This window comes from Homo sapiens, chromosome 3 (genome assembly GCF_000001405.40).
Source record: "Homo sapiens chromosome 3, GRCh38.p14 Primary Assembly".
Lineage (NCBI taxonomy): Eukaryota > Metazoa > Chordata > Mammalia > Primates > Hominidae > Homo > Homo sapiens.
The window spans coordinates 128,525,549-128,535,709 of record NC_000003.12 but is presented as its reverse complement, the minus strand read 5'-3'; the positions used below and the strand labels follow the sequence as shown (position 1 = coordinate 128,535,709).

At 39.5% G+C, this 10,161-nt stretch overlaps 1 annotated feature.

Annotated features, from left to right (window-relative positions):
• Nucleotides 2,348-2,848: a transcriptional cis regulatory region, noted in NCBI's record as "intergenic|chr3:128251705-128252205 region (GRCh37/hg19 assembly coordinates) targeted for CRISPR interference". NCBI's record gives its function as "negatively regulates RPN1 gene expression in K562 cells {active_cell/tissue: K562}" and the evidence as "EXISTENCE:mutant phenotype evidence [ECO:0000015][PMID:31784727]".

Genomic DNA, 10,161 nt, shown 5'->3' with positions numbered 1-10,161 from the left:
GACTGCTTTGGATCTATTTGCCAAGAACAGACAAGACCACATCTGGTGAAGAAGATGTGCATCTTCTCTAACATCACAGGAAAGCTTTCAATTGGGGTTCTTGTTTGCAAGCAATGCAAACTGACTCCATGTAACTTAAGCTTATACCATCTCCCCAAAAGGAGTTTTCACAATGGTAAGTTAAAATTAGATTTTCTGCAAGTAATAGACAATCTCAAAATAATGGTGGTTTAAATAAGATGGGAATGTATTTCTTATTTTTGAGAAGTCCATAGGTGGACAATCCACGGCTGCTGTGGATTTGCACAGCGCTAGGGACCCAGGCTCTTCCCAGCTCAACACTCTGCCATCCTAGATGAAGGTCTTCATCCCATGGCTCAAGATGGCAGCTAGAGTTCTGCCATCATATCTGCATGTCAGGCAGCAGGATGGGGAAAAGGAGAGAGCAGAGAGGGCAAATTCCAAATGAAAACGTATGTCCACACAAAGACCTATATGAGAACAGTTAGAGATGCTTTATTCATACTGCCCAAGACTGAAAGCAACACAATTTCCTGTCAACTGATGAATGGATGAACACACTGTGGTTTATCCATGCAATGGAACACTATACAGCAATAAAAGGGATAGAGCTATTGGTACATGCAACAGTACAAATGAATTGGAATGCATCATGCAAGGCAGAAGCTGCATGACCTTTATGACCTAGCCTTGAATGTCACATAGTATAATTTCCACCACCATGACAGAAATGATCAAAAACCTGTCCAGACTCAAGGGGAGGGATCAAAGGGAGATAGTGTCAAGGAATTTGCATCTATGTTTAAAAATTACCACAGTGTTATCTTGGACCAGAGGTAGAGATGGGTGGTTAATGGTGTTTGATGATGCTGAGTGGACAAATAGATTGAGGCAAAAGGAGAAATGACTAGATTCAACAACTAATCCATCCCCATGGAATTCTTTCAAGAGCTTGAGGGGGAGGTGGGAAAGCCAAGACAACCAGTGTAGGCTGCAGAAATGCAGCACACTTAAGGTAGATGGCTTAGCAGAATAGAGATCTCCTGCAGACTCCTCTTAGGAACTTCTGAAAAGAGTTGTCTACACTCCTGTCTTCTGCTTCTTTAACTGCCTGCCCACTCCCTCAGCCTTGGCCACCTGGATTCTGCTCCCACTGCCATTGAAACTTCTCTGGAAGGTACTCCTCTCCTCTGCTTGGGCCACCTGAAGCACTCGATGTGTGGATCCCACCCTTCTCCTTTGATTTCTTCTACTGGTTGTACTCTCCTAAATTCCTCCTGATTTCATGCCCACTCCTTCTCTGAGGCCAACTGTCTCTTCTATCACCTCAAAGTCAGTGTTTTCCAATGATCTTCCCTGGTTCCTCCTCTCTCTCAGCCCACTCTTGTCCATCCTGTGGCTTCAGTCTTTACCTCTTTGTTGATAATTTTCAAATCTTGGTCTGAAGTGTAGGCTCCTCTCCTGTACTTCAGACCTCGATACTGCATCATTTCCTGAACAGTGTAATGCCACACAGGCATCTCAAATTTGGAATACCCAGAGTTGAACTCATGATCTCTCCTTCTCATCATGCTTGCTTCCTCTTCCCGGGTCCCTGTCTCTGTGAAGGGTTCCACCAACTATGAAGCTATCAGATAAAAATCTTCACATCATCCTGTTATCTTTCTTTTTCCTGTATCCAATCAATCAGTAGGGTCTCTTGGTTTCACCTCCTAAGTGTTTCTTCTGCTCATCTTCCTCTCCATCTTCACTGTTAGCCACTTCAGTTCCTACCTCCATCAATGGCAGATTAAGTTTTCCAGACCAACCCTTCCTCTGAGAATAACTAGAAAATCTGGACTAAATATTTTTTAAAATCTCTTTGAAGAGCTACTATAGCAATGAGAGATTGCAGGGCTAAGATAATTGGAGTTAAGTTAGTAAAAATCTGTGTAGTCCCAGCTTCTCGGGAGACTGAGGCAGGAGAATTGCTTGAACTCGGGAGGCGGAGGTTGCAGTGAGCCAAGATGGTGCCACTGCACTCCAGCCTGGCAACAGAGCGAGATCTGAAGTTGATGGTAAGCCCTAGATCAGCCACTAAGGATAGAAGGGACACCCAGAGATGGGTGTCTGGCAGATGGGAGTCTGGCATTTGGTACCATTTCCCTCTCAAGGCTGATTCTGAAAGGCTGAAAAGTTAAGAAGTAAACCGAACTCTTTTTTTTTTTTTTTTTTTTTTGAGACAGTTTGGCTCTGCATCCAGGCTGGAGTGCAGTGGCATGATCTCGGCTCACTGCAACCTTCGCCTCCTGAGTTCAAGTAATTCTCCTGCCTCAGCTTCCCAAGTAGCTGGGGTTACAGGCATGCACCACCATGCTTGGCTAATTTTTTTATTTTTTCAGTAGAGACGGGGTTTCACCATGTTGGCCAGGCTGGTCTTGAACTCCTGACCTCAAGTGATCAGCCTGCCTGGGCCTCCCAAAGTGCTGGGATTACAGGCGTGAGCCACTGCGCCCGGCCGTAAACAACTCTTGACAGATTCATGGTCCTGAGAAGATAAGAAACGGAAGTCAGAAACTGCCCAGAAGCAGGGGCCTTGATAAAATCCCCAGGTTCAGACCCCAAAGGGCACTACACCCTGGAAGCAAGTTTGTACTTCTGGCCTGACAGCATGAGGAGCTCTATGGACCCAGCTGCAATCAAAACTGGTAAAAAGTTATTCTAAAACAATCACTCTGGAAATGGTCCTAAGAACATATGGCAAATGAAGAAATATTTATTCAAGCAAATCTCCTAAAACTCAGTCTGTGGTATTTGGACCAAGACCCTCTTTCCCCTTGCTCCCAGCTCAGTGAGATAGTGAAACCCTGCATCGTGCTAGTATAGTCGAGGACACAGGACTCCTTCCCCCGCCACCCTGCAGCTTTCTGTTGAAGGGTTATCCTCCTGGGAGGGGCAGATCTTCAGATTTTTCTCATTCTGCCCACAGCTACCTGTTGCTGAGGCTAAATTCCGGGCAAGTGCATCTCAGAAGTGGAGGCTTCCTTCTGCCCAGCACCCCCCACTTGTAGGACAAAGGCTCAGTACAGGGCACAGAACCACCGAGAATCCTGGGGCCCCTACTGCTCACCCCCTGTCCTGTGGGATGAAGGATCCACACTGGGAAAGGTAAGCTGAGGAGACCTGGGGCTGCTGCCTCCCCCTCTCCACTGAGTGCTCAGCTCCTAAAACTGGGGTGTCACTGAGAGGAGAGCATGCCATTGTTCCTGCCCCAATTACCAGAACCGTGGCTCAGAGATTTTGCCCAGAGAGAGAAGCAAGCCATAAAATAGAAAACTCCAAATCTCTCCCCAAAGGAACTGACTTTATATGCAACAGAGTTTGGAGAAATTCAAGCCTAAGAGCGCTCTGAAAATCAGTGGAGGTTGTGGTGAAAGGCCATGAGGGGGATGTTGCTAGATTCAGTGGAGAAACAGGCTAAACTGCAAGCTGGCTACTTTGCTGAATAGAAATGGGGAAGAGACAGCTGGGAGGGGCCGTCTTGGGAGTTAGAACAAGTTTCAAACACTAACCTTGGGAATTATTTGTGCAGTTTAGGCCAAGTGCGAAGTCAGAGGGGACACAGTCCACATGAGACTGCCCTTACTTTTAATATTAATTGCAAGTTTGGGGGGTCCCCAAGTTTTGACAGTTCACTGGAAAGACTCACAGAACTCACTAAAAGCTGTTAAATTCACAGTTACAGTTTATCACAGGGAAAGGATACAGATTGAGATTAGTCTGAGAAAGAGGTAAAGAGGGCATAGTCCAGGAAAAGTACCAAAGCAGAACTTCAATTGTTTTTTTAAGAGAACAAGGAATGATAAATAACATGGCTAATATAATAAAAACTATAAATACATAGTTGCTCTCTTTTCTCCTCACAGCTTCTTTGAGACCTGAAGTTATGTAAAGTAATAATTATAACACTGTAATGTTGGGTTTATAGCATTCATAAATGTAATATATAAAAATAACAATAATACTGTAAAAAAGGGGGAAAAGTGAATAGAGCTATTAGGAGTAACATCTCATTGGAGTTAAGTTAGTAAAAATCTGAAGTTGATGGTAAGCCCTAGATCAACCACTAAGGAAATACCTCAAAAGAATATATTGAAAATAACATTACATAAATTTAAAGGCTAAATTAGAAAATATTTAATGCAAAGGGAAGGAGTAAAGTAGGAATAGAGGAACAAAAAAGACAGTAGACAGAGAAAAAAAAGTAAAATAGCAGAAGTAGATCCGATTATATCAATAATAACATTATATGTAAATGGATTAAACAATCTAGTCAAAAGTCAGAGATTGTCACACGGGAAAAACAAACAAGACCCAACTATACCTTGTCTAAAGGAGCCACAATTTGGAGTTACAGATACAAATAGACTGAAAAAAAGAATTGGAAAAGGATATATTATGCAAACAGCAAACACAAGAGGGCTGGATTGGCTATACTAATTCATGTAAAATAGACTTTTAGCTGGACTGAATAAGTAAAAGACAGAAAAGACTCAATATTTAGAATCAGGAATGAATGAGGGAATGTTACTACTGAACTTACAGAAATAAAAATGATTATAAATGAAAACTGTGATCAATTATATGCTAATAAAATTAGGTAACCTAGATGAAGTGGGCAAATTCCTAGAAAGGCACAAACTACCAAAACTAATTCAAGAAGAAACAAACAATCTGAATAGACCTGTAACAAGCAAAAAGATTGAGTTAGTAAACAACAACAACAGAACTACTCCCAAAGAGAAACTCAGGGCCAGATGACTTCTGGTGAATTCTACCAAAAATTTAAAGAATTTCACAACTTTTTCTCCAAAAAAAAAGAAGATGAGAGAACAATTCCCAACTCTTTCTATGATGCCAGCAGTACACTGATACCAAAACCAGACAAAAAAATTACACGAGAAGAAAACTACAGACCAATATCTCATGATTATGAATGCAAAACTCCTACACAAAATACTGGCAGACTCAATCCAGCAACATATATAACAAATTATACACTATAACCAAGGGGTATTTATTCAAGAATGTAAGGTTAGTCAACATTTAAAAATCAATCAGTGCAATACACCATATCAACAGAATGAAGGACAAAACCAAATGATCATCTCAATAGATGCAGAAAAAAGCATTTGACAAAATCCAACAACATTTCATAATAAAAACATTCATCAAACCTGTAGTAGAAGGGAACTTCCTCAACCTGATAAAGGACATCTACAAAACACCTACTGCTAACATCATACTGAATCATGAAAGACTGGATACTTTTTCTCTAGGATCAGACACAAGGCAAGGATACCCACTCTTGCCACTTCTATTTAACATTATACTAGAGGTTCTAGCAGGCTAGTTGGTCAATTAAAAGAAATATAATGCATTCATATTGATAAGAAAGAAGTAAAATTATCTCTATTCACAGAAGACATAATATTATAAACAGAAAATCCTAACTCACTAGAAAAAGTATTAGAGCTAATAAATGAATTAAGCATGGTTGTAAAATACAAGATCAATATATAAAAGTCAATTGTATTTCTATACACTTGCAATGAACAATCTAAAAATGAAAGTAAGAAAACAATTCAATAGCAAATAGCACCAAAAACCTAAAATCCTTAGTGATAAACTTAACTAAAGAAGTGTAAAACATATAATCTGAAAACTACAAAACATTTTTATTAAGCAATCTAAAGAAAATAGAAATAATTAGCCAGGCATGGTGGTGCATGCCTATAATCTCAGCTGCTTGGGAGGCTGAGGCAGGAGAATTACTTGAACCCAAGAGACAGAGGTTGCAGTCAGCCGAGATTGAGCCATTGCACTCCAGCCTGGGCAACAAGAGCGAAGCTACATCTCAAAAAAAAAAAAAAAAAAAAAAAAAAAAAAAAAAAAAAAGGAAATAGAAATAAATGGAAGAACATCCCATATGCATGGATCAGAAGTCTTAATATTGTTAAAATGACAATATTCCCCAAATTGATGTACAGATTCAACAAAGTCTCTGTCAGAATCACAGCTGAATTCTTTTAATGGTAAAATAGAAAATCTGGTTCTAAGATTCATATGGAATTGTGGGGGATCAAGAATAGCCAAAAACAATTCTTAAAAAGAAGAACAAAGTAGGAGGACTTACACGTCCTGATTTTAAAACTCTCTACAGGCCGGGTGTGGTGGCTTACACATGTAATCCCAGCACTTTGGGAGGCCGAGGCAGGTGAATCACGAGGTCAAGAGATCGAGACCATCCTGGCCAACCCGGTGAAACTCCGTCTCTACTAAAAATACAAAAATTAGCTGGGTATGGTGGCGCACACCTGTAGTTCCAGCTACTTGGGAGGCTGAGGCAGGAAAATTGCTCCAACCCAGGAGGTGGAGGTTGCAGTGAGCCGAGATCATGCCACTGCACTCCAGCCTGGTGAGAGAGTGAGACTCCATCTAAAAAAAAAAAAGAAAAAAAGTACTACAAAGCAACAGTAATCAAGACAGTGTGGTACTAGCATAAGGATAGCCAGAAAGACCAATGGAATAGAATAAAAATCTAGAATTAAACCCATGCATTGGTGGCAAACTGATTTTTCACAATGTTGCCAAGATGGGGAAAGAATAGTTTTTTCAACCAGTGGTACTGGGACAACTGGGTAGACATATGCGAAGGAAAGAAGTTGGACCCTTACCTTACACCATATAAAAAATTGACTCAAAATGGATCAAAGACCTAAATATTCACTTCCATACAGTTTATCCATATAACCAAAATCCACTTGTACCCTAAAGCTGTCAAAGAAAAAAATAGACCTAAAACTATAAAACTATTAGAAGAAATATAGGAGTAAATCTTCAAGACCTCAGATTTGGCAATGATTCTTAGACTGAACACCAAAAGCATAAGCAACAAAAGAAATAAATAGAAAAATTAGAAATTTGTCGAAATTAAAAACTTTTGTGCTTCAAAAGATACCATCAAGAAAGTGAAAAGACAACCCACAGAATGGAATAAAATATTTTCAAATTATGTATCTGATAAAGGACTTGTATCTAAAAATATTTTTAAAAATCTTACAACTCAATAATTTTTTAAAAAACCAAATAAACAGCTGGGCGTGGTGGCTCATGCCTGTAATCCCAGCACTTTGGGAGGCCAATGAGGGTATATCACGAGGTCAGGAGTTCAAGATCAGCCTAGCCAAGACGGTGAAACCCCATCTCTACTAAAAATACAAAAATTAGCCAGGCATGGTGGTGGGCACCTGTAATCCCAGCAACTTGGGAGCCTGAGGTAGAAATTTCTTGAACCCGGGAAGTGGAGATTGCAGTGAGCCAAGATCGCACCACTGCACTCCAGCCTGGGCGACAGGGTGAGACTCCGTCTCAAAAAACAAGAACAAGAACAAGAACAAAAACAAAACAAGAACAAAAACAAAAACAAAAACCAAATAAACAAATTCAAGTCCTTTGGCCATTTCAAAATGGCATTTCTCCAAAGAAGATATACCAATGTCCAATAAACATGTGAAAAAATGATCAACATCATTAGTTATCAGGGAAATGCAAATCAAAACCAGGACACATTGATTCACATCCACTAGGATAGCTATAATAAAAAGTCAAATAACAAGTGTTGATGAGGATATGGAGAAATTGGGACCCTCATACAGTGCTGGTGGGAATATAAAATGGTACAGTCACTTTAGAAAACAGTCTGGCAGTTCTTCAAATGGTCAAGCGTGGAGTTACCCTATGACTTAGAAATTTTACTCTTGGGTATCTACCCAAGAGAAGTGGAAACACATGTTTACATTAAAACTTGTACACAAATGTTCACAGAAGCACTATTCATAATATCCAAAAGGTAGAAACAACCCAAATGTCCATCAACTGATAAATGGGTAAATAAAATGTGATATAGCCATAGACTAGAATATTATTCAGTCATAAAGAGAAAGGAATACTGGCGCTTGTTACTACTTGGATAAAACTTGAAAACATTATGCTAAGTGAAAGAGCTAGTCACAGAAAGACCACAAAAAGAGCTAGTCACAAAAAGAATATAATCCCATTTTTATTGAATGTCTAGAATAGGCAAATTATAGGGACAGAAAGTAGATTAGTGGTTGCTTAGAGGTAGGGCATATGGGGGTGATAAGAGGGGTGATAGTTAAAGGATGTGAATTTTTTTTTTGAGCTATGAAAACATTCTAAAATTGATTTAGAAATGCTTGCATAAATCCATGAATATATTAAGCACCACTGAATTTTGCACTTTGAATGGGTGAATTGTATAGTGTGTGAATCATATCTCAATAGAACTGTTATTAAAAACCAAGCAAGAGTGAATCAGAAATAGGCCATCTCTCATTGGGATTGATGCTTAGTTTTGAATTATCTCCACGATTGGATTGAGATGATCGAAGACTGGTAATGTTTCTACCCTGGCTGTTCTCTAGAAGCAAATGTAAATCCTTTCTAAAGAAAGATACCATCATTCAGAACTTTATATTATCTCTATAGGTTTTCATAGACAATGTCTGGCACGCAATTAAAAATCACCAGGCAAATGAGAAGATGGGGTGTGATTGAAAACACAAGAAAAAGGACAGAAGAAACAGGCTTCATTATCTTTTAGGTTTCAGCTTAAACATTAGTTCCTCAGGAAAGTTTTTCTGAACTCCCTGGAATTATAAGTCCCTAAGCACATTTAGTTCCATTCCACCCTATGCTTCCCCTGGTTACTTATTCAACGTCTGCAAGCAAACTGTATAACCATGTTCAGTATATAAGTTGTGCATAAATTAGGATTTAACTTGTCCTATTCACAATAGGAAAGTCATAAAATCAACTTGAAAGTCAATCCATCAGCAGTGGATTGGATAAAGAAAATGTGGCACATGTACACCATGGAACACTATGAAGCCATAAAAAAGAACAAAATCATGTCCTTTGCAGCAACATGGCTGCAGCTGGAAGCTATTATCATAAATGAATTAATGCAGAAATAGAAAGCCAAATACCTCATGTTCTCACTTACAGGTGGAAGCTAAATCTTGGGTACACATGGACATGAAAATGAGAACAGACACTGGGGACTCCAAAAGGAGGGAGGGAGGGAGAAGGGCAAGGACTAAAAATCTCCCTATTGAATACTATGTTCACTCTCTGGGTGACAGGATCAACAGAAGCCCTAACTCCAGCATCATGAAATATACCCTCCCCTCTTTTTTTTTTTTTTTTTTGAGACAAGGTCTTGCTCTGTTGCCCAGGCTGGAGTACAGTGGCACAGTCATGGCTCCCTGTTGTTTTGACCTCCTGGGCTCATGCAGTCCTCCCACCTCAGCCTCCAGGTGCACACCACCATGCCTGGCTATTTTTAAAAATTTTTTTTGGTAGACATGGGGTTTTACCATGTTGCCCAAGCTGGTCTTGAACTCCTGGCCTCAAGGGATCTTCCTGCCTTGGTCTCCCAAAGTGCCAGGATTACAGGTTTGAGCCATTGCACCCGGCTGAAATATACCTTGAAACAAACCTGCACATGTACCCCCTGAAACTAAAATTAAAATAAAAAAGAATTTAACTTGTTATAGAGTTTCAGTCATCTCTCACATTTCCTCTGAAAAACTTATATATATATATTTTTCACTTACCATGTTAAAGTAAAATTTTACATGTAACATACATACAGAAAAGTAAAATACATATAGAAAAACGCACAACTCACAACTGGTGAATTTTCAGAAACAGAACACACCCTTGTAACCAGAATTAGACCATCCTAGGATCCCAGAGACCCTCTGGGATCCCTTCCTAGTCACCAGCCTTTCCCCAAAGTGTAGTGAATTTCTGTCTTCTAACACCTGTCTGTCAACGTTTCCAGGATTAGTTTTGTTTGCTTTAGTTCAATGTATTTTCAAAGCTTACAAAGATGCATGTGCAAGAACGTTCACTGCAATTTCGTTTATGATAGCAAAAGATGGAAAAGAATGAAAATGTCTATCAATAAGAGACTGAGTAAATTTATTATAGTCCTTCTTATAATAAAATTCTATGTAACCATTAAAAGTAAAGATCCAGATATGAATCTACTAACATGGAAAGATGTCCAAG